The sequence below is a fragment of the Homo sapiens genome, chromosome 20 (assembly GCF_000001405.40).
Source record: "Homo sapiens chromosome 20, GRCh38.p14 Primary Assembly".
NCBI lineage: Eukaryota > Metazoa > Chordata > Mammalia > Primates > Hominidae > Homo > Homo sapiens.
The window spans coordinates 49,838,970-49,864,343 of NC_000020.11; the positions used below are offsets into that span (position 1 = coordinate 49,838,970).

Genomic DNA, 25,374 nt, shown 5'->3' on the forward strand with positions numbered 1-25,374 from the left:
TTGGTGGCCACTTTATAAGAGTGATGAGCCTGTCAGCTTTATGGAAACATGCCTGAACTTAGATGGTCTGTTTTCTTCCAGGAATTTCACAGAACTTTTACTTTAGGTTATTTTCAGCATTTGTGTTTTTCTAGCTAAATATTCAACATGGAACTGCTATTTGAGTCTGAGAAAGTGATCATGGATTCTTTTTTGAAAATGATGGAAATAAACAGTACACGGCAAACTTAGCTTGTAAACTCTGCATTTCACATTGAAAATGGGTGGATATGGTAAAAATGATAGGCGGTAAATCTTCACCAGGCAGAGTGTCCTTGGGTCTTGCTTTAAAATACTTTTCCTCCCCCACAGCCTGACTTTTGTATTTCATTTTAGTGTGTTTGCCTGAGATGTGAGTGAGAAATTCATGTGATAGATGTCTCACGTCTCCCTAAAATGTACAAAACGAAGCTGTGCCCCAACCACCTTGGGCACATGTCGTCAGGACCTCCTGAGGCTGTGTCATGTCTTAAATTTGAGTAATCTTTCTCATATCTTAAATTTATGTTAAAGTTTACATTTTCTCTTGTAGGTATTCTCATGGGAGCAGTTATAAAAATTATAGAGTTTAAAAAACTGGCGAATTGGAAGGTAGGTTTGCCCTTTGGTTGTTCTTAATTTTAGTAACATTGATCATTATGCTGGCTTTTTTGTAATTACTTGGCTATCAGTGGAGTTATTTATATTATTATGTTATATATCCCATTACTTTTTAATTTTTTTATTAGATACAGGTTGATGCCTTTACATCTGAGTTTTTGCAAAAGCATAAGTCTCATGCTGTTTCAAGTGAACATGGGCGCCAATGTCATTTTTTTTTGTTATTATACTTGCATTTTTGTAATCCTAGACTAACCTACTTTTTTAGGCAGGAAAATTCTCTAATTAGCATTAAACATTAAATACTGTTTATTGCTCCCAATTCCATTTTGACAACTGAGGATAATAAAACATACTTGTCCAGTACTGTGAGACACAGTACTTTATATATTGTAGCTCATGTTATTCTCATGACAGTCATGTGAGGTGGATTGTCTGGGTATTGTAATATCATCACCTCGTTTTTACAGATGAAAAAAGTGACACTCAGGGAGATTGGGATGTATTCAGTGTCACAGAGCTAGAAAGAAAGTGGCCGAGTGGAGTCTTGTGTCCAAACCCTCTGGCCTGAATATGCAGTGTTTTCTCCACCATACCACCCCGTCCTCAGTTTGCTGATATATATACCCTTGTGTTAAAGAGGTTATTAGAATATGAACATCATCCTGGGGTGCAAGTACTCATTGAAACTGGAATTTCAACATAAACTTGAGCATCCATGTTGAGTAGGGCGAGATTAACAAGTATGCTACAAAATTGATTTTGTGGAGGGAAATAAGATTCATTTCAAAATATAAAGAATTATATGGCTAAAATTGATCACATTTAAGCCCTTCCTACTTTGATGAAGCTCCTAGGTGCTAGGATTAATTGACCTGTGAAACTGTAGAGTGTAAAATTAGCAAGACAAACCTTATAGACTAACGTAAAACACAATTTGAAGCTGTTATAAATAGTAGTAATGAAATATTTTATATATTAAATAAATTTTGAAAATGTATATTGAGCTCTGGAGAGTGATAAGACACACTTCTGCTGGGGAGGCCCCACTGGAGCGCATTGCATGTGGGATCTCTGCCTTCCTGCTACTTGGTTACATTTAACCACCCAAGAGTGGGTCATGACTGAAGAGCCTTTTTCTACTCCTAGGCTGGATATAGCCTGATGTGTAGATTTTGCCCACTAACCCATTTTGTTTGATCTGATTTAAAAATCATTTGATCAAGGCTGGGCGTTGGCGGCTCATGCCTGTAATCCCAGCATTTTGAGAGGCCAAGGTGGGTGGATCACCTGAGCTCAGGAGCTCGAGACCAGCCTGGGCAACATGGTGAAACTCCGTCTCTAAAAAAATACAAAAAAAAAAAAAGATCAAAATTTGAATTGACTTTAAAACAATTAAAAATTGTTAGATTTTGGGCGGGTGCGGTGGCTCATGCCTGTAATCCCAGAATTTTGAGAGGCTGAGTCACGTGGATCATCTGAGGTCAGGAGTTTGAGACCAGCCTGGCCAACATGGTGAAACCTCATCTCTTCTAAAAATACGAAAAAGTAGCTGGACGTGGTGGCACGCACCTGTAGTCCCAGCTACTTGGGAGGCTGAGGCAGGAGGATCGCTTGAGCCCAGGAGGATCGCTTGAGGCTGCAGTGAGTTATAATTGCACCACTGCAGTCCAGCCTGGGCAACAGAGCAAGACCCTGTCTCTAAAAAAAAAAAAAAAAAAGTTGGGGCAGGCTTCCTGGAGGAGACTGCATTTGTGGAGAGTCAGAGTGAGAAGTAGGATTCCTGCCTGGAAACCAGATGTGCAGGGAGCAGTGGGAAGTCAGAAAAACAAGAGGAGCTGGTGGTTTCTTTCCCTGAAGTTCTGATTCCAAACTGACCTGCTGGGTCTGCCCAGGTAGCAACCTGTATTATCATGTGCTTAATATTTTTCTATCAACTTGCTTTTTAATTATATGTATATATATATAAATTATTTATTTATTTCTTATTTTCTTTTTTTGAGACAGAGTCTCTCTTGGTTGTCCGGGCTAGAGTGCAGTGGCACGATCTCGGCTCACTGCAACCTCTGCCTCCCGGGTTCAAGTGATTCTCCTGTCTCAGCCTCCTGAGTAGCTGGGCAGGAGAACAGGCATGTGCCACCATGCCCAGCTAATTTTTGTATTTTTAGTAGAGACAGGGTCTCACCATGTTAGCCAGGCTGGTCTCGAACTCCTGACCTCAAGTAATCCACCCACCTTGTCCTCCCAAAGTGCTGGGAGTACAGGTGTGAGCCACTGCGCCTGGGTGTGGCTAATTTTTAAAAAAATTTTTTGTAGAGACACGATGTCACTATGCTACCCAGGCTGTTCTCGAGCTCCTGGGCTCAAGTGATCCTCCCACCTTGGCCTTCCAAAGTGTTAGGATTACAGGATTGAGCCACGTGGCCTATATATTTATTTTATTTTATTTTATTTTTTTTTTTTTGCTGGGGAGTGGTGGGGAGCAGAGTCTCACTATGTTATCCAGGCTGGAGTGCAATGGCGTGGTCTCAGCTCACTGCAACCTCCGCCTCCCAGGTTCAAGCAGTTCTCCTGCCTCAACCTCCTGAGTAGCTAGAATTACAGGTGCCTGCCACCACGCCCGGCTAATTTTTGTATTTTTAGTAGAGATGGGGTTTCACCAAATTGGCCAGGCTGGTCTCGAGCTCCTGACCTCATGATCCATCCACCTTGGCCTCCCAAAGTGCTGGGATTACAGGCATGAGCCACCACGCCTGGCCATGTTTATTTTCAAGGCAACATTACAGTACTATTTCAATTCAGAAACTAATATTGTTTTGTAAACATGATAAAAATGAAGTAGTACAGATGCCTGCTGAAGCATCAGAGGTCAAGTCTGCTCTCTGTCAAGGGAGATCAGCACGTTGGAGAGAGCCCTTAGAAGCGGTATTGCCATCCTAAGGTGTCTTGGATTTATTTGGGCCTGAAGAAATAATCAAAAGGGGCTGACTCTCTCAATCCATGAGGTCAGTGGTATTTGACACACACTGCTCAAGTGCCACCTAAAATCACCTCAGAACATTTTGGGGGAGCCATTGCCAAAAGGAACTGTAACACTATTTCCCTGAAAGGCAGTGTGTTCATAAGGGCTGCAGTAACAAATTATCACAAACTAAGTGGCCTAAAACAACAGAGATTTGTTTTCTCACAATTCTGGAGGCCAGAAGTGAGAAGTCAAGGTATCAACAGGACCAGGTTCCCTCCCAAAGACTCTAGAAAAGAATTCTTCATTGCATCTTCCAGCTTCTGGTGGCCCCGGTTTTCCTTGGCTTGTGGCCGCATCACTCCTGTCTTTGTCTCTGTGCTCACATGGCATTCTTCTCCACGTGTCTATGTGCCTTGTTCTGTCTCTTACAAGTCGATGTTTGCTGCCTTTGGCCTTCCCTTATCCAGTGTAAGGTCATCTAGATCCTTACCTTCATTAGATCTTCAGAGACCCTATTTCCAAATAAGGTCACACTCTGAGGTTCCTGGTGGCCATGAATTGTGATTGGGGTTGGGGGACACTATATAACCCCACTATAGGTAGATTCTCCTTTTTCCTGGGGTGGGGGGGGCTAGTTTTTATACCTCCAAAAGGCTGTATATAGTGGTCCTGCTGCACAGATCCTGAGAATAGGTTGCCCCGTAAAACACAGAGCTCGGCTCATTTTTTTTCACACAGTCCCAGTCTGAATCATGAGCTTGAGCTTGTTGTACATGCTGCTATTTTAAGACTTAATAAGGCATTTCAGAAGTCATCATTTGCTTCTATTTTGAGCGTTTTTTGACTTTCTTTTAGTCTTTATGGTAACAGCTGTACATTTGTAAGAATACATTTAGGCATTCTTTGGAATAGGCATTTTGACAAAAAATCAGACTGTCAAAATTGTGACATGGGAAAATATTCATATGAAAAAGGGCCTGATTTTGCATTTTTAAATAGACTGTGTATTACACATAACCATTTTGGGCTTGAGGACCAATATATATTTCCCCAAAATTCTACCAACAACTAGAGAGATATATTAATAATATAGAAAATGAAATTGTTATTGTTTCACCCCTCCAAAGATGGCTATATTCTAGAAACACCTTTCGTAGTGGCACTTAATAATCAAATCTGGAAGCATGGTGCTATGGTTTGGGCATTTGTCTCCCCAAACCTCATGCTGAAATTTGATTCCAGTGTTGGAAGTGTTTGGGTCATGGGGGTGGACCCTCATGGATAGACTGATGCCCTTGCTGGGGGAGGGAGGTGAATGAGTTGTTGCTCTGTTCGTTCCCTATACAGCTGGTTGTTAAAAACAGCCTGGTCCCATCCCCGCCCCCCCTTTCTTCCTCTCTTGCCATGGATCTCTGCACACTCTGGCTCCCCTTCTCTTCCCCCATGAGTGGAAGCAGCCTAAGGTTCTTATCAGATACCCAGTCTTGAACTTTTCCGGACAGCAGAATCATGAGCCAAATAAATGTTTTTCCTTTGTAAATTACCCAGCCTCAGGTATTCTTTTATAGCAAGACACATGGTAAGGGGCTGTCTTTGTATCAAAGTCTCAAGTCGAAAGAGCATCCAGTGTGGACTGTTTTATCACATCAGACTTTGGAAAATGGCAGAGTTGTCTGTGATAAGCAGAAAGAAGGCAGAGCTATTTTAACCATATATAGGATTTACTGTTCCTCTGAGTGGATTGTTTTAGGGCTTGCCATTACCTTTTTCCTGGAGGATTCCAATTTGTGGAGTTGTTTTTGAAAGTCTGCAACCAGAATTGAAATTTTCTGTATTCAGATTAATTTTCTTTCTGTACTAAGGAATAAAAAACATACTACTGTGTTGTGCTGTTTCTTTTCACTGATCACCTTTAAAATCCTTGTCTTGGCCACGCATGGTGGCTCATGCCTGTAATCCCAGCATTTGGGGAAGCTGAGGTGGGAGGATTGCTTGAGGCTAGGAGTTTGAGACCAGCCTGGGCAACATAGCGGGACCCTGTATCTTAAAAAAAAAAAAAAAAAAAAAAAAAAAAAAATTAGCCCGGCATGGTAGCACGCACATGTAGTCCCAGCTACTCAGGAGGCTGAAGTGAGAGGATCACTTGAGCCCAGGAGGTTGAGGCTACAGGGAGCTGTGATTGCACCACTGCACTTCAGCCTGGACAACAGAGCAAGAAAGACTCTGTCTCAAAATAATAATAATAATAATAATGATAAAAATAATAAAATACAGTTTCATTTTTTTTTTTGGTGGGGGAATCTCTCATTCTGCTTGATTTTATTATCAGGTAGTTATTTAAACATTATATGTTTCCACTAGGCCAGGCCCTGAGAGAATAATTATTTTGGCTCTTTATTGATTAATTTATTTCTTAATTACACAAATTCCATGCCCTTAAGATACTCATTTTCTATTTACAGGAAGAAGAAATGTTTCGTCCAAACATGTTTTTCCTCCTCCTGCTTCCCCCTATTATCTTTGAGTCTGGATATTCATTACACAAGGTGAGACTCAGGCACACATTGGTGCTTTGGTCTGGACAGTTTCTCATGTTTGTAAGGCAAGTTCCTTAAAAGCTTGGGTATAATTTAGCAGCAGCAGCAGCAGCAGCTCTGCTCCTTCCTGGTTGTGCTCAGTGGAAGCTGGACTGCAGTGCCTGACTTCTGGAGAGGAGCAGACATGATGAATTGGCTGCTTTAATGGTTTCAGGCAGTATGGCTCACTGAGCCAGTGTTTGCCATAAATGGGTGCTTTGCCCAGGAAGATGGCTGAAGTGATGTTAAGTGGCTCACAGATGATGCATTGACTCGTCTTCCTGGACACAGACTGATAGATGTAAAGAGGATAGACTGTGTCCTGGGACGACGGGGACATGTGCCCCAGGACTTTTGTTTCTTTCAGCTCCCCCACTGGGGCCTTTCTAACCTTCTCAGGCCCATCCATCCTTCCATGTCTCCCTCTCGGTGCCCTCCCCTGGCCTCAGACCCCAGCTTGATATTCCCCTTCATCCCTCAACCTCTATCGCTCCTCGCCCACTCCCTGGTCCAGCTTCTCCTTCCCAGGCTGGAGCCCCATCCTTCCCTGCCTAGTCCCACAGTTGCCTGCCCATTCTTTCCTCCCTGCCTTGGTGAGCAGTGGCACTGGCCCCTACCCACTTCTCTGCTTTGGCTTGGCCTTGACGGCCATTGCCTTGCAACTCCCAGTGTGAGATGTTTTTTTTTTTGTTTTGTTTTTTTTGAGATGGAGTCTCACTCTGTCACCCAGGCTGGAGTCCTGTGGCATGATCTCGGCTCACTGCAACCTCCACCTTGTGGGTTCAAGTGATTCTTCTGCCTCAGCCTCCTGAGTAGCTGGGATTACAGGCACACGCCACCTTGCCCGGCTAATTTTTGTCGTTTTAGTAGAGACGGACGGGGTTTTACCATGTTGGCCAGGCTGGTCTCGAACTCCTGACCTCAAGTGATCCACCCACCTTGGCTTCCCAAAGTGCTGGGGTTACAGGCATGAGCCACCACACTCGTCCCCTAGTGTGAGTCTTTCTGCCTGAGCAGGAGCTTCTCACTTTTAAGCCTGCTTGTGTGCGTGCATGGTTTTTTCCTTGTCTGTGAGTTTTCTTTAAACATAAATGTATTTAAGTTTTAAAATAAAGTGATTCAACTTAAAATACTAGTATTAATAATACAGCAGCTATTTTGTGAATGTGATTTTTAAAAAAACTGTGAAGATTGGAAAGTTTAGGCCAGTCCTTGGAGAGAGGAAAGCCAGAGACACAACACAGATCTAATCATGCGCTGCCCCCTACAGGTTTCTTTTTGGTAAAGTAGAAACCAAAAACCCCAAAACCCTACCTCCCAGGGTGCTTTGAGAGTCACACTAGATGAAAGAACGTAGGCAAAGCACCACCCACCACACTAAATAAATGAAGTGCTGCTGCTTGTTATTAATGATAAAAATGTCATTTATTATTAATAACAATATTACCACCAGTAGTAATAATAATTTATTAAGCTTAATATGGTCGGGCCCAGTGGCTCATGCCTATAATCCCAGCACTTTGAGAGGCCGAGGTGGGTGGATCACTTGAGGCCAGGAGTTCAAGACCAGTCTGGCCAACATGGTGAAACCCCATCTCTACTAAACATACAAAAATTAGCTGGTCGTGGTGGTGCGTGCCTGTAATCCCAGCTACTCTGGAGGCTGAAGCATGAGAATCATGAGAATAGCTTGAACTCGGGAGGTGGAGCTTGCAGTGAGCTGAGATCACGCCACTGCACTCCAGCCTGAGTGATAGAGGGAGACTTTGTCTCAAAAATAAATAAATAAAAATAAACTTAATTTGTTGTTGACATGGTATAAAATAAATAAATACATAATTTTAAAAAATGAGTTAGATTTGTCTAGAAATGTTTGGTAAAAACATAGAAATTAAGTCTTTAATTTTCCTGTACTAAAACAAAAGCATATTAAGATGTTCAGCCCAGATTTTTTTTTAAGTTATTATTTTATTGTGCATCTATCCAAAGAAAAAGTGAAAAGGAAATTTAATGTAAAAAATATTCACAAGTCTTACAAACTGTTAGTGACATCAGATAATTTTTAACAAGGAAACATAAGTTGAAGGTCACCATGTCTTTCCTTTCACTTTGTAAACAAATCTTAACTGTAAGCAGATATGAAAATATTTCAAAACATGCTGAGGAAATTGACTTGATTTTGACTTAAAAACATGACATTTTGAATATTAGAGCATGTAAAGTTTTTCTTTTCTTTTTTTTTTTTTTTTTTAGAGGGGAGAGAAACTTGTTCAAAATTTGAGGAAAGTAATAGTTTTTTAGAGAAACATTTTGTTGAAGATGACTTTCCAGCAGGAAATGTGACAATTTATATGAAAGGGACTGATAGGATTATGAAATGCTACTTCTGAAACTTCTATCCACTTTCTACCCTCGCCCAAAGATGATAGGAAGTAAAGTTTGAATATTTTATTTTAATATTATGATATCTGCTAATGTAAATTTGGATTTAGAATACAGATTACAGTAAGATTATCATCAGTTGATATGCATTAGCTAGGCAGCAACTGGTTCTTTGAATTGCAAATATTACACAAATCACAGGATGTTAATTATGTCAGAGAGAAACAGATAAATTTGCTTTATGTAGCAGAGGGAAGTTCTTGTATTATGGTAACTTTAACTTGGGTAAATGTTCAGGATCCAGATTAATATTAACCAAATATATAAATTATATCAACATTAGATCTCTGCAAACAGGTCAAAACTGATTAATCTGTTTTTTTTTTTTTTTTTTTGAGATGGAGTTTTGCTCTTGTTGCCCAGGCTGGAGTGCAATGGCACGAACTCGGCTCACTGCGAACTCGGCTCACTGCAACCTCGGCCCCCTGGGTTCAAGCGATTCTCCTGCCTCAGCCTCCCGAGTAGCTGGGATTACAGGCGTCTATAACCACACCAGCTAATTTTGTATTTTTAGCAGAGATGGGGTTTCTCCATGTTGGTCAGGTTGGTCTCGAACTCCTGACCTTAGATGATCCACCCGCCTTGGCCTCCCAAAGTGCTGGGATTACAGGTTTGAGCCACCGAGCCCAGTCTAATCTGTTTTTAAATAACAAAAGAAAACAGCGATTTGCAAAGAGCAACTCATAGATTGAAAGCCCTTTGTTTTGAAAAACCAAATCATTGTGTTTTAAAATTCTTTGTGCAGTAAAGATTGATATGCCAAACAAAGGAATTGAATGTCAGATGATAGGCAGCCAAGTCAAAATTGCAGCTTCTAGGAGGTGGGCTTAGTGGGGCAGTCAGTGTTCAGCTGAGGACACTCTTTCACAAGTGGGCTTTAAAATAGCAGGTCTTGATGTCCATGGTTTGGTGATTTCTGAGCTAAAAACAAGATTCTTGTTCACAACCACAATCGGGGGTGATCAAAGACTCTTGGTAGCTCCTAAGTGGAGTTCATAGGGTTATAATAAATAGCTTAATTTCCTTAATTTTATGGAAATTTGAAAGATGCTACCATGCTGCTTGAACTTGAATATTTTATCTTAAACGCTGTGAAGTATAGATAGAAACATTTTATCTGACATAGTTAATGATGATACTAATAGAGTGAAGTAAAATTGTTTAAAAGACCTGGCCAGGAAAAAGGAATATCTGATAGTGTATCTTGGTATCCTAATAGTGTGGACTTTGGATGTGAAACACAGTTAATTCCTTCAGTGCCTGTCTGTTGGGCATCTTCCATCTGACGGGCATTATGTCAGGGACCGTGTTGTGCGAAAGCAGGTGGGGTCATTGCCCAGAATGAGCCTGCAGCCTCATGGGAAAGTAAGACATCAGTACATAAATAAGTGCAAAATTGCAGTCTTGTCAACCGCTACAAGAGAGGGTGACTGTGCACTGAGAGCACAGACTAGGATCTGGGAAGAGTTGAAATGTCCTGAGATCTTGGGATGATGAAAGCTTAACAAGCAAAGAGGGAGCACAACCTGCTCGAAGCCACCAGTGGGACTGGAACCCAGAGAACAAAGGCGAGCATGGTGCCAGATGAGCCCAGAGGCCTCCCCAGGAGTCGAATCATTCAGGGTGGGGGCTAGCTGCATTTTAAGTGGAAATAGGGGTCCAGGTGAAGGCAGCACAATCAGATTTGTCTTTTGGGAAGATCATTCTGGAAAGACGGGAGAGTGGAGGGAAAGGGGCCCTGGGGGGTTGAGGAGACTTGTGCGAAGCTATGCAGTGTTTCAGATGAAAGATGGTGTGAGTGACGGGACACTGCAGTAAGTGCGGGGGTGCAGGAAGACTCCCGGGCTCCCAGCTTGCCACACAGGTTGGGCAGTGGTGCCTTTTACAGAGAATCAAGTCTGCACGGAGGGCCAGGTGTGCAGGCCGTGCCTTCACTGACAGGAATGGCTTTTCTAATCATTTCCCTGATTTCTGCTCTTTCAAACAGGGTAACTTCTTTCAAAATATTGGTTCCATCACCCTGTTTGCTGTTTTTGGGACGGCAATCTCCGCTTTTGTAGTAGGTGGAGGAATTTATTTTCTGGGTCAGGTAAGAAAATCATCTTTGAAACACTTTGAAAGTCTTACATTCTTAGAGCTAGTGCAGGGAGGTGGGAAGGTGAAATGGGGCCACTTTGTGGGGCCTGGGTTTCACCCTTAAGGTAAATTCCTTCTGGAAGGAAATCCTAGCTTCATATGAGGCACAGTAGAGGCGTGCTAAATTGTTTCAAAGTGTCCTCCAAGACCTTTGGTATCTGGAATTGAGTAAAACTTTTCCATAATCCCCCCCAAAGTATTTGAGTTTATTTGCAAACCAATACTGTCTTAAATTAGAATACCTAAAAATGAAGCCAAATATATGCCATCAAGAACTTCAAACTGTGTTGTCAAGTAGACTGAATTGGGGTTGAATGCTGTTTTTTGATAAAAATTTGTATTTAAAAAATCAAAGATGTGCTTTTCTGCTGGCATTGGAGAAATAATAAAATCAAAGGTGATGCTGAATCTCTTCACTCAATTCTAAGCTGTCTACCTGTAGAATTATATACTCTGGATTTTCCACAATTGCTAAACCACTTCCCAGTGGCACCAGTTGGGTGGTCTCTACTTTAGACTTCAAATTAATTTAGACCAAACATCCCTAGGAAGGTAGTATCTGTAGTTTTGTATTATGCATGTCCATGCATGTCACATTCTTTTCCTTTATTGTCAGTTGCAGAAAGTTTGCCTGTCTCAGTTCTGAAAATTAAGTTGAGGGTCAGGTATCTGAGTGACGGGCAGATTTCTTTAACACATCAGCTGCTTTCTTCTCTCAATAGCCAAAGCCCATTCCATTGGATTTTCACCTATATTGCAGCTTTGATGGCACCAGAATAAATCTGTCTGTCATGCAGCTTTCTTCATTGCTCAGCTTCTAGTATTAAGTAAGAATAAACTTAAGGAAACTACAGTTAATTGGGCTTGAAGAATGTAGCATTCTTTTCCATACTCTCGTTGCATGCCGATGGAATGCATGTTTCAACTAAGGCTTAGGAGCTTTTATTTTTCAAGTGGTTTGGGAACTGAAGATTAATGTCCTTATTAGTTTTAATAAAGCACTAATGGACATTTAAATCTTGGCTGTTCTCCAGGGTTTTTTTTTTGTGTGTGTCTGTGTGTTTGTGTGTTTTATTTTACAGGCTGATGTAATCTCTAAACTCAACATGACAGACAGGTAAATCCTTCATACTGTAACACCCATGCGACTGCTTTTCAGACAGGGGAAATGTTTCTCCACATTGCTTCCTGGGTGTGGTACTGTTCTATTCTCTCTCTGTGTATTTATTTTTGGTAAGGATTTCTGCCATAGAATCTTACTCTGAGTTAATTTGTATCTCTGAAATGAATCAAAAGTATCCTAAAGACTTTTGAAGATCCCTAGTGGGGCATTGCTGATTGGAATGATTTAGTTTAAGCTTGGGAGGGAGTAACTCTGCTCAGCTAACTGCCCTGCCTGTGTGCACGCGTACACTGTACCATTGTCTTCTTATTTACAAGACTTTTCAGTCGCCGTAACAAAAAGTCTTCTTGACAGATTAGAGATGGAGAGGGGGAGTGACGGAGAAACTTTCCTCTGGGATTCCCACGAAGCCTGTGGTGGGGGAAGCAGGGCCAAGACCTCTATTGTGGTTATTGTAGAAAGCCCCTCCATCTGAAGCCACTCCCGTGAGCACTTCCCATGAGCCCCATCCAGGATTTCCCAGAATTGCATAGTGAGAAGCAACCTCACTAGGTTGAGGCAGTTGTCTCTCAGAAGGTACCAGATCTAGTGCTGAAAAAGTGCCCATGCTGAGCATAGTCTGGGTTCCCCCCTCTGAGAGCAGACAGCCTTGCTCAGTGTGTCTGCATTTGGTCTTGTGACATGGCTGGGGAGCTGGGCAGCAGGGTCACATGTTCGTCCCCAGATCCTTGCCATGGGGCCAGTCAGAGCTTTCAGGATTTAGCAGCAGTTTAGCAACTTGGGACTAGAATCTGGGAACCCTTTTCATGGGAACTGTGTCTCTGATAACAAATCCAATTCTATTTCTACCTCCACTCACCACCCACCCCAGCCCAGGACAATTTTGGAGCTTTTGTTGTAAGACAGTTTTGATACATAAACAAGTAGTCCTATTCCATGAGAGCTGGAAATAAAGCAGAACTGATGTCCTGTGTTTGGTAGGTATTTTGCAAATAAAAAGAAATGCCCAGTAAAGGAAGGTATCACAGTATTCAAACCTTCCACTTGTTTTGGGGGCAACTGGTTAGAGATACAGACAATGCTGGATAACTTCCTGTGAAGTTGAATTGAATCAGTGGTTGGGATGTTCAGGTGGAGGACAGGAAAGGAATTGCCCTGTAGACACACTGACTTAGAGCCGGGTAGTGTTTTCCTCTCCGTGTGCAGAAGTTTCCTTTGCTGTTAGAAAGTGACGATCCCTCAGATGGGGACTGCTCTGGGGTCGCAAACCCACACAGCCGCAGGGCCTGGCAGAGCACTTAACAGAGGGAAGCTGGCCAGCTGTGAGTCTAGACATGGGGCAGCGGCCAGTGGGAGAACACACCCTGTATGAAGGGACAGCCACTTCTCAGCGCCAACTCATGATTACCATGTGGAAATCTGGGCCCAGAATTGGTGGCTATTTTAAATACTTTTTTTTCAAAAAGATGCTGGGTTTCTAGATTTTTATAGGGAATTTTCCAGTTTTTCAATGTTGACAACTTGCTCAATTTTTCACAAATACCATGCAGACCAAACATGAGAGGGGACCACAGACTTTTTGCAACCTCTGCACTGTAGAAAACATAAAAATAACTTCGTTGCACACGTTTTGTTTTGTTCTAGTGATATCTTGTTGGAGAGAGATTTCACTCTTAGAGATCCTGAATTATTTCGCTGCCTTAGTTCATTTCTTTTTCATTTTGTTAATGTTGCTATCTTTTGGGGCTATGGGATAAAGAAAATACATTTTTAAGTTGAACTTCTGGCGTTTAAAAGGCGAGGTCTTAAAGATGTGAAGTGGAACAGCTGACAGCCAGGTGAAATAACCGTCTTTCCATACAGACCTCTCAATGATTCAGCAGTTTGTATTTCAGACTTCTCATCTTCACTGTCAGAAATACTCTGCCTCAATTTAGATTCCCAAGCAAACTGTGTAACATGATTTATACAAAGCATTTCCCCCAGCCTTTTGTTTGTTTTGTTTTTTTCAGTTAATTTAGAAAGTTTATTTTGCCAAGGTTGAGCATGCGCACCCGTGACAGCCTCAGGAGGTCCTGACGACATGTACCCAAGATGATCAGAGCACAGTTTGGTTTTATACATTTTAGGGACACATGAGACATCAGTCAACTTATGTAAGATGGACGTTGCCCCAACCTTTTATTATGAAAAATTTTAAACATACAGAAAAGGTGAAGCATTGTGAAGTGAATACCCATAAACAAATTTTTAAAATATAAAAGGTGTATCCTGCAGGGGTAGGAGAGGCACAGGACAGGGAACTTGGGAGCCTGTGGTGGGCCTGCGCTTCACTGAGGCTGGAGTATAGTGGCATGATCACAGCTCGCTGTAGCCTCAAACTCCTGAGCTCAAGCTGTCCTCCTGCCTCAGCCTCCTGAGTAGCTCGGACTACAGGTATGCGGCACCACTTCCGGCTAATTTTTGTGTGTGTAGAGATAGGGTTCTCTCTATATTGCCCAGGCTGGTCCTGAACTCCTGAGCTCAAGCCATCCTCCCACCTCAGCCTCCTAAAGTGTTGGGATTACAGGCGTGAGCCACTGTGCCCGGCCCAGGATACACTTTTTAGACATCATCCTCCTTCCTTCACGGCCTCTGGTGATGGGGCTGTGGTTGATGAGAGTGAAAATAAAAGAGCGACCAGAAGCTCTGTCTGGGTTGTGGTGCAAGGGCCTGGGGACCAGCCACCAATAAAATAGGATCTCCCAGATGGGCAGTTGTTTAGTGGAGTTACCTTCCCTTTCTTCCTTCCCTTTCTTCTTCCCACCTGCCTGCCTGCTTGCCTTCTGCAAGTGTCTCTGGGCCATGCCCAGTACAGACCCTGGGAATTCACCCATGACGAAAATTCAGCATCCACTCCCTTGGAGCTCACAGGCCTGTGATGACCTCTGTGAGGACAGGCGAAGTCTGGGAACTGAATCCTCAGCCTGGGATCCGGAGGCACTCTGGGTTAATGCGCATGAGTCACATTCACAGGCAGCTACCATGGAAACCAGAGGCCAGATGATTGACTTCTGAAGAGAACTGTACCTGGCAAGGCAGCCAGGCATTTCCTCAGTCAGCTCTCCTCTCCCTGACCCTGCAGCCAAAAGATCACCCATTGAAGGCTGCTCAGCCGAGCATCCTTTTCCCCCTAGACCCAGGCTTGGTGAGGGTGGGAAGCTCAGGGCAGTCGTCTCTGGCTGATGACTGACACAGGCTGGCCATTGGGTCTCCATGTTTTGGCTGGTGTTGTGGAAGGGGGCAGACCCACCATTCTGCTGCCCTGGAAAGAAAGTTGCAACAGGCATGGCACAGAGGCTTGTGGGAAAATCACCAAAGGGCAGGGAGAGTGAATTGTCCAGGCTCATGTGGCACATGAGGCCCCTTGAGGGAGCTGGTCCTGCCTCCCTCGCCAGCCTCTTATGGCTCCTGCCACTCACCCCACCCCCACCACCACATGCACCTTCCTTCTGTTCCTCAGGCAGCAGGCTTGCTCCCACCGCAGGAGTCGCTTGCTGTCACCTCAGCCTGCAGCTCTTGGCCTGGCCAGCTGCTTCTTAACATGTAGGTTCTTGCTTACATGTGTCATCCCTTCACAGAGGCCTCTCCAGACCGCCCCATCTAAGTGGCTCCCACACCCACACCCCCACCCCACCTTCCCACGTCACCTCAATTGATTTCCTGGGTCACATGTGGTATTGTCTGAATTTGCCTTCATCTCTGGGTATTGCTGTATCTACTGTTGGGGGTAGGAGTACCGACTCTGGGCAGATAGCCTGGCTCTGCTACTTGTTAGCTGAGTGACCTTGGACAAGTTACTTCATCATCCCGTTGTCCCTCGGTTTTCTCCTCTGTCATTGGGGCAGTAGTAGCAGTCTCATACAGTCACTGTCTGGATTGTTGAGTCACCGTATGTGAAGTGCTTAGAACAGTGCCGGCCATGGTAGCCTCCATTCCTGAAACATGTTAGACAATCAGCACATATCTGCTGGGGGTGATAAGATCTTCACGGGGACTGTCAGTGAGGTCACTGGCCCAGTTGGGAGATGGCCTCAGTGTTTCTCTCGGCTGTCTACGCCACTCACCCCCAAAGCACACTGGGGTTGCTGCTGCTTTTTGACACTTTCTTAGATCTTGCAAATCTGAGTGCAGGCTGGGGTCGGTCACGGACAGCATTCCAAGGGGCTGGTGGCGAGGGGCAGAGCAGAGGTCAGATGCAGGAGCTCATGGGCCATTTGGCTCTAGCTGCTCTGACCCGTGGAACTGGGCGGTGTATGATAAATATATCTAAGCAAAAGTCTCCCTTCCATCATTGGTCAAAGTCAAGTCTCCGTGCTGACACTAGAAAACCAGGCCATTCCTAACAACTCAGTTTAGAGTGGGCCTTTCATACTCCACCCACAAAACAGCAGATAAGTGGGGAAAAAATACGCTACCTTCTGTAATTAATTCAGCTCTAGCGTGTAGTATTGCTTTCTGTTAAATATGGCCTTTGACTTTAATGCTTTAATATGTGGACCAAGTGACACACATTACAGAATCTCCCCTTCCCTCTGTCTCTTACAGTTTTGCGTTTGGCTCCCTAATATCTGCTGTCGATCCAGTGGCCACTATTGCCATTTTCAATGCACTTCATGTGGACCCCGTGCTCAACATGCTGGTCTTTGGAGAAAGTATTCTCAACGATGCAGTCTCCATTGTTCTGACCAAGTAAGTACGGGGGCAGAGAACAGACTTTTTTCATGTGACAGAACTAAAGGTCCTTGTAACAAAGGGGCAGATATTTCCACACAGCATGTGTACAGTTGCTTGTCCTCTGGGTGATCAGTTCACCCACTCTCTTTCTCTGTATTTCTGTCCTGACAAGCCTTGATGTGCTGCAAGAATATGGTCAGGTTCCAGGGGTGGTTAAAAGAGGAGAGTCCACCTTTTTTTTTGAGACAGGGTCTCGCTCTGTCACCCAAGCTGGAGTGCAGTGGCTCCATCACAGCTCACTGCAGCTTCAACCTCCTGGGTTCAACTGATCTCCCACCTCAGCCTCCCGAGTAGCTGGGACTTACAGGCACGTGCCATCACGCCCAGCTAATTTTTTAAGAAGTTTTTGTAGAGATGGGGTTCGCCATGTTGCCCAGGCTTGTCTTGAACCCCTGGGCTCAAGCAGTTTGCCCACCTCAGCCTCCCAAAGTGCTGGGATTACAGGTGTAAGCCATTGCTCCTGGCTTTGCCCACCTTTTTCGACCTGCCTTTTAGTAGTGGTTTCTGAGCCCAGCTTGTCAACATCACTGAGGGTGCTTATTAAGTGTGACATTCCTAGGCCCCACCCTCAGAGCTTCTGATTCATTTGGTCTGGGGTGAGTCCCAAGACCATGGGTTTTTAATAAGTTCCCCAGATATGATGAAGCGGCCTGTTCAGGGGTCAGTGTTTGGGCAATATTATTGGCAACAAAAGCAATAGACAGAGGCCCCACTAGCTGATGCATGTCACCTTCCTTTTCACAGCTTTAAAATAAGGTAGGAATGCTGATAGGTGCCCTGCCTTAAGATGCTATTGTGTAAACTCTACTTTGGACACTACAATTTGTTTTCAAATATTTGTTGGTATTACTACCCTAATTGATGGGATCTGAGAAGTTAAAGATGAATAATAAAATGTCAAGAAGTCATTGGGGGCCAGGCGCAGTGGCTCAGTCCTGTAATCCCAGCACTTTGGAAGGCCAAGGCGGGTGGATCACCTGAGGTCAGGAGTTCAAGACCAGCCTGGCCAACATGGTGAAACCCTGTCTCTACTGAAAATACAAAAATTAGCTGGGCTTGGTGGCGGGTGCCTGTAATCCCAGCTACTCCGGAGGCTGAGGCAGGAGAATCACTTGAACCTGGGAGGCGGAGGTTGCAGTGAGCCGAGATCACACCACTGGATTCCAGCCTGGTGACAGAGCGAGACTCCGTCTCAAAAAAAAAAAAAAAAAATTTTAGCTGGGTGTCATATCACGTGCCTGTATTCCTAGCTACTAGGGATGCAGTGAGCTGTGATGGAGCCATTGCACTCCAACCTGGGCAACAGAGCAAGACCCTGTCTCAAAAACAAAACAAAACAAAATCACTGGGAAAAGTAAATGCATTTCAGATAATCTCAAATATATTTTTCTGATGCAGGGATATTTCCTTGAACTCTGCATTTTATGGTGGTCATTAACAGGCAGGCAACAAACCCAAAGATTTTTGCCAAAACACAGATGTTTGAGACCAGTCTGGACAACATAGCAAGACCCCATTCTCCCACCTTCCCGCAAAAAACTCCAAAGCACGTGGAGAAAAGAGCCCCGGATAATGTATCAAAAATGAGCTAAGAGAATCTTAGAGGCCAGTGTGTGTTCTGTTAGATAATAGAATTTCCATTTACCTGAATACTGACTTACTGCCTTTGCTAAAGCATAACCACTCTGTGGTAGCTGGCATTTTCTTAGAAGTTTTTTTATAGACTATATTCAGAATTCTTATGTTGGAATAAAATGCCTCAGCCTAGGACTAGATTTGAGGACTGAATAGTTAAATAAGGTACTACAGGGCTGGGCGCGGTGGCTCACGCCTGTAATCCCATCACTTTGGGAGGCTGAGGCGGATGGATCACTTGAGGCCAGGAGTTCAAGACCAGCCTGGCCAACATGGTGAAACCCCATATCTACTAAAAATACAAAGATTAGCCAGGTGTGGTGGCGCACGCCTGTAATCCCAGCTACTCGAGAGGCTGAGGCAGGAGAATCGCTTGAACCTGGGAGACAGAGGTTGAAGTGAGCCAAACTCACATCACTGCATTCCAGCCCGGGCGTCAGAGTGAGACTCTGTTTTAAAAAAAACAAACAAACAAAAGGGTACTATGAGAAAAGCATCCAGCATTGGGTAATGTGACATCCTTTCCTTTTCTTTCCCTGCCCCTAGTTGTTGTTTTCACCACATTTGCCCAGTTTTTGCCCTGTTTTTGCCCTTCCTTTGCAGGAGGAGCTTACCAAATACTGCCTGATGGCAAGAGGTGCTCAACAGGCCTTAAAAAACAACCAAACTTATAAGTATTTTTGTTATTCTAAATGTAGTACATATATTCTTACCAAATTTAGGAAATACACAAGCAAAAAAGAGAGAAGTATCACACACATTGCTACTACCTAGAGATAATTATGGTTGATAATTTGGTGTAAATATATATACATTTTATTTCAATAGGCTTATACCCCAAATATTGTACTCTATTTTCCATTGAACACAATTGATAAAACAGTCTTCTGGAAAATAATTTTACTGGTTACGGTGTATTCCTTTTTCTGGGTTTACTATGATCTACTTAACCAGTTTCCTACTATTGGCTTTTTCATGTTTCTCTTGGCAGAAATTTCTATAGCTTTATTAGGATATTATCCAACATCATGCCACAAGACCTTTAAAAAATCCAATGGCAGTATTTTTTCTTATTTAAGATCTACTCTGAAAGCTGCCTAGCATTCTGGTTTTTACTTTTATCTCGTATCCTGGCTACACATATTGAACATTTGTGACAAGGAATTTTGCCTAACTTGGAGGTGACATCATGAGTTATTTTTATGCATTGGGAGCTAAACTCAATTGCTTTGTCTCTTGATTTTTTTAAAGAAAAATAATTTTTCAGAGGTAGGATCTTTTCTGAGCTTTTCCAGTTGTCTCTATTATAAAAGCCAAAGATAGGAGACTTTTTCTATTTAAGATGGGAAATGATGGAGTCATCGTTGGTAGCCAGAGGTTCTTACTGGAAAAGTGCTTTGGAAACCCAAGATGGGGCCAGGCATGGTGGCTCATGCCTGTAATCCCAGCACTTTGGAAGGCCAAGGCAGGTGGATCACCTGAGGTCAGGAGTTTGAGACCAGCCTTGCCAACGTGGTGAAACCCTGTATCTACTAAAAATACAAAAATTAGCCCGGCATGGTGGTAGGTCCCTGTAATCCCATCTACTTGGGAGGCTGAGGCAGGAGGATTGCTTGAACCTGGGAGGCGGAGGTTGTAGTGAGCCGAGATCGCACCACTGCACTCCAGCCAGAGCGACAGAGCAAGACTGTCTCAAAAAAAAAAAAAAGAAAGAAAAGAAACCAAGATCGTCTGTGGTAACAGTTCCCACAGTTGGATCTGTGGAGCATGCATGTATAGTTTCCAGTCTCCTCGTCCACCAGCAGCAGTGCTACTGCTGAGGCCACGGTTGGATCTGTGGAGCATGCATATATAGTTTCCAGCCTCTTCCTCTACCAGCAGCACTGCCACTGCTGAGACCCAAGCTGGCTTGAGAATCAGCCTCACAAACTCTCCAGCCACGGCTGGTCATCTGCCATCAGCATTTGGTGAGGGACCTCTGTGTGCCAGACACTGCTGAGAGCCAGGTGGATTTGACAGTCGGTCCATGATGGGCAAAAGATGCCCGTAGAGAAGTGAACATGGTGCCTTAAGCATGAGGGGGCTCAATGACCAGACCATGAAGGATATGAGGAAGGCTTCTCAGAAGGAACGTCTTGTGAGCCAGGCCTGGGAGGCTTATTTTCAGACAGAAGATACAGAAAAGGGGCATGTCAGACTTACCCCCGCCTCCCCCTCCACCTTTTTTTTTTTTTTTAGTACAGAAGAAAAATATGCTCCTGGGAGCTGTTGTCACCTTTCCTTGGTTATCAGAATCATACCTGGTTTTGAAGAGGTATACTTCATAAACGATCATCTCCAAAGTGAGCTGACACATTTATCTTTGCAACTGAATATGTAAATGAGTTACCCCCTTTTTGATGTTGTTACCTTCATGAATGCCAGAAAGCAAATGTCTTCTGTTTCTTCGGTAACTTGAATTCATTTTCAGCTTTGATTTGTTGCTATGATAGTGTGTTCTTAAAGTCACTGCTGTAGAGGAAACCTTTTGTTTTCTCCAGCTACAGCTTAAGCTCATGAAATGGACCCTGAAGCAATACTCCCTTTTATTCTTTAAGGTATGAGAAACATGACCTTAAGAAACAAAATGTAGAAAATTACCAGGCCAGAAAGAGTCCAAATTCTACTTTCATTACCTGGAGTTCAGAAACCATTGCCCCAGCCCTGGATCTGCTGTTAACCCTTTGTGTGACCTTACCCAGTGACTCACTCTCTTTGGGCCTCAGGCTACTCTGTATAAAAAGCAGTGAAACCAGCCTGGGTACCTGCTGTGGTAGTGATGTGGGCTGAGGCTGGGCACTGTATGTGTGTGACCTGCAGATCCATTTTTGGGAACTATGGGTGATCATGGCCTTCAAAAGCACTTTTCCAATATGAGCCCTTGTTGGCTGCCACATTCCTCAAGGTGGGATGTTAACCTGTGATCTGCTAGAAAGAAGGGGGATTGGGGAGATTGTTTGTTCAGATGAGTCTGCAAAGCTTTCACGTGAAGAAAGTTAGATTTCTTTTTTGCAAGACTTCTCAGACCTTTATTATGTTATTTTGGGCTGTGAATTTCCTCGAAAGGCTTTCTGAGTTTATTTGACCAAGCTACCTTTTCATCTTATTCTGCTTTAAAATGATACCAATCCTGGGGCCTGGCATGGTGGTTCATGTCTGTAATCCCAGCACTTTGGGAGGCCAAGGCAGGTGGATCACTTGAGGGTAAGAGTTCCATACCAGCCTGGCTAACATGGTGAAACCCCGTCTCTACTAAAAATACAAAAAAAAATTAGCTGGGCACGGTGGTGCGCATCTGTAGTCCCAGCTACTTGGGAGGCTGACGCAGGAGAATTGCTTGAACCCTGGAGACAGAGGTTGCAGTGAGCTGAGATCGCACCACTGCACTCCAGCCTGAGCAACAGAGCGAGACTCCATCTCAAAAATAATAATAATAATAAAATGATATCGATTCATGACATGGTGATTGATGAAGCTGAATATTACTGTTGACTATTCTTTGTTTCATTTACTGAGTCAACAAAAAGGTATTGACTGTCTTTTGTGTGGGAGGCTCTGCTTTAAGCCCCGGACATAAGGCAGCGAACAAGATGGACACAGGCTTCATCCTCATGGAATGAGGCACGACAGTTTCCCATGCTGTGAAGGAGAAGTCAAGCACCATGACAACCTTTAAATGGGCAGGCCTGCGTGAAGGGATCAGGGCAGGTGTGCCTGAGGGAGTGGCACTGACCCTGGGTTCTGAGGGATGAATAAGGGAGTTAGCTGGGGCAAGGAAAAGTGAATGGTGACCACCTGGGAGGTGCCAGTGACAGTGTGGCCCAGATGTTTAGATTTGGGGAGAGGAGGTAAGGTCAGAGAGGTATGGCAGGCAGGAGCCAAGTCAAACTAAGACTGGGCTTCCTGATAACGTCGGGAAACTGTGAGTTCTGAACAGGCTGGTAACCTGATCAGGTGTGCCTTTGAAAAGGATCAGTTAGGGCCTGTATTTCTAGCACTTTGGGATGTTGAGGCAGGCGAATCACTTGAGCCCAGGAGTTCGAGACCAGCCTGGGCAATATGGTGAAATCCCATCTCTACAGAAAATACAAAAACTAACTGGGTGTGGTGATGTATGCTTGTGGTCTCAGCTACTCTGGGGCTGAGGTGGGAGGATCACATGAGCCTGGGAAGCAGAGGTTGCAGTGAGCTGAGATCATGCCACTGCACTTCTGCCTGGGTGACAGAGTGAGACCCTGTCTCAAAAACAAAAAGAGGGGGATCATCTAGGCCACTGAGTGGACAACGGGGTTGGTCTGTAGGAAGGCAAGGATGTCTAGAAGGAGATCAGTGAGACTTATCCCTGGGAGTAAAGGGCAGTAGGGGAGGGAAGAAGGGAATGGATTTGAGAGACACGAGGAGGATATTTAATGAGAATAACTCGATGTTCATGGTGTAATGGTTTTATCTTTAAGGACAAAACCAACAATTGAATTTAATAACATCTGACATTTTACTTTGTTCTGTTACAGTAAAAGGAAAGTTCTTTCTTTCATTTCTTCCTCCTTAATGTCTCCTAAATCCTCCCTCTCAGCCTGAAACCTCGGACATTTCTTCTTTGGGTAGCTCCATTCTAATCTGACTTGCCATAGCCTCAATTTCAGGTTTTATCACAGGATTTCTGTACTGAAATCCTTCCTATCGACTCCCCAGGCCTTCAAGCTGAAATACCAGCACCTTTCCTGGGCTCTTTCCTGTCCCTCTGCCACTCTTCTCACCTTGCCTCCTGCCACTGTCCCACCCCCACCCCACCGCTGCGTTTTAGCTGCACTAATCTTGGTACTTGAAAGTTCCTACAATGGGTTGCATATGCATGGGCTCTCTTCCTTTGCACATGCTGTTCCCTCACTGGGTGCCTTCCCCCATTTCTTCACCTGGGCAAGTCGTCTTTATCCCAAATCTAAACCCAGCCCCCGGCCTTTTTTATTTTTTATTTTTTTGAGACAGAGTCTTGCTCTGTTGCCCAGGCTGGAGTGTAGTTGTGCGATCTTGGCCCACTGCAACCTCTGCCTCCTGGGTTCAAGCGATTCTCCTGCCTCAGCCTCCCGAGTAGCTGGGATTACAGGCGTGCACCACCACACCCAGATAGTTTTCGTATTTTTAGTAGAGACGGGGTTTCACCATGTTGGCCAGGCTGGTCTGAACTCCTGCCCTCAAGTGATCTGCTCACCTCGGCCTCCCAAAGTGCTGGGATTACAGGTGTGAGCCACCACGCCCGGCATCAGCCCACATTTTCTCAAGCACCTTCCTTGAGCCCGGCCAGTCTGAGTTAGTTACCTACCCACCCTGCTTTTCTACAGCCCTCTACCCCTCCCGCGGATTGTCATTAGTGTTCATCTTGTTTTTCTCCCTCATTAGCCTGAGGGGAGGAGCTCCTTAAGGGCAGCAGCTTTGCTCTCATCTCTGAACCCCAGAAAATAACAGTACCTGGGACAAAGTAGGTGAACAATAAACGTTTGGCTGACTGAATGAATGATGGTATGAATGAATGAATGAATGAGCGAATAAGCAAGAAATGTTTTAAGTTAATTTCTAAGAACTTTGTGTATATAACATTTTAATTTATTTCTGTTTTCTTTCATTTCCTAGCACAGCTGAAGGTTTAACAAGAAAAAATATGTCAGATGTCAGTGGGTGGCAAACATTTTTACAAGCCCTTGACTACTTCCTCAAAATGTTCTTTGGCTCTGCAGCGCTCGGCACTCTCACTGGCTTAATTTCTGCATTAATATCCTTTTAATGTGATGAACATGCAGGGTTAAAATTATTCCTGATAACTTCTGTCTCTAGCCAGTTTCTCCTGTTTTTTAAGGGGGCCAATTTTAGATGAAGATTTTGCTTAAAGGAGGATTTTTTTGCTTAGTTTTTGTTTGAGAAACACTCTAACTCAAGGATTTTTTAATCTAACGTGAAATTTAGGATGTCACTTTTCAAAGTTTAAAAAACATGTACACTGTTGGATATCAGATGTGATTTTGGGGACCTCTCAGTTCCCAGAGTATGATAACCACACTCCGATGATTTTCGTTTTCTGCCATCTTACTTTTCACATTTGGAAAACTGGAAATTAATTTTCTTTGAAAATGTCAAATAGACCAGGTGCAGTGGCTCATGCCTGTAATCCCAGCACTTTGAGAGGCTAAGGCCAGAGGATTGCTTTCGCCCAGGAGTTCAAGACCAGCCTTAGCAATGGAATATAGTGAGACCTCATCTCTAAAAAATACATAAATAAAAATAAAATGCCAAATAGAGAAAATTTTTATCCCACTGAAAGTGTTTATCCAGAAGGATTGCAAAAGGGGCTTTCAAAGTGTGTTCCATTGAGTTATTTGCACTGATTTTGTTGTTTGACAACCAATAAGCTTTTCCAGCTGGAGATGGAAAGAGGCTTGTTAAGGCCAATGTCACCTTTATTGCTGTAGAAATTTCATTATGTTTAAAATAGTAACAGGCAGTAGACCACTTCGGTGCGCACCTAAGCCTACGTCTCAGGGAGATGGCCACCTGGCCCGCCTCCACGAGCAGTTTGTGTCACAGATGGCCGGAAGAGACTCTTTTGCCTGGTTACAGGCATGTTTTTCTGCCATCCTGTTGAATTTTCCCATCAACTCCTTTGTCCAGAAGTCTAAGGGCTCTATTGAGTTGGCTGACAGCTTCTCATATTGTACCAATAAACAGAATGGAAAAGAAAATTTTTTCCAGTTCAGTATTTTCCTCTATATTTATCTTTTTCTTTAAAAAAAAAAAGTATCTATCAAAATGAAGTGGAGCAAATGGGTACTGTGAGCTCCAGTATAGGCATTGTGAATGATGTTTCAATATATAGAAGGCTCTCTCCTTTCACAGGGGCATGAGTTTGGAAATCTCCAGGAATAGGAAATACTGTGCTTCAACAGGGCCTCGAACCTCAGTTTGAACAGCGATTCTCACTAGTTGTCTTTGACTCAAAACTGATGGGGAAAGCAAGATGGGTAGCATTAGTGATCTCATCCGATGTTGTTGGA

The 25,374-nt window shown here is 43.8% G+C and overlaps 1 protein-coding gene and 1 non-coding gene across 20 annotated transcripts in view; both read left to right on the forward strand.

The window, feature by feature from the left end:
• SLC9A8 (solute carrier family 9 member A8) overlaps positions 1–25,374 on the forward strand; it is a 79,415-nt gene that overhangs the window by 26,142 nt on the left and 27,899 nt on the right. For 5 of the 19 annotated variants that reach the window (XM_011528736.3, XM_011528738.3, XM_011528740.3 and 2 more), the window contains exons 4-10: positions 572–630; positions 6,067–6,150; positions 10,610–10,711; positions 11,793–11,875; positions 16,469–16,612; positions 20,531–20,634; positions 23,965–24,098. In XM_011528736.3, coding sequence (XP_011527038.1) covers positions 572–630; positions 6,067–6,150; positions 10,610–10,711; positions 11,793–11,875; positions 16,469–16,612; positions 20,531–20,634; positions 23,965–24,098 — 710 coding nt within the window. Of the gene's footprint in view, positions 1–571; positions 631–6,066; positions 6,151–10,609; positions 10,712–11,792; positions 11,876–16,468; positions 16,613–20,530; positions 20,635–23,728; positions 23,808–23,959; positions 24,099–25,374 lie in introns of those variants that run through there. The other 14 variants (NM_001260491.2, XM_011528741.3, NM_015266.3 and 11 more) reach the window with 12 other exon arrangements.
• On the forward strand, positions 24,890–24,984 carry MIR12122 (microRNA 12122). The gene has a single exon (NR_162136.1). It is a non-coding gene; the product is annotated as a microRNA 12122 (primary transcript).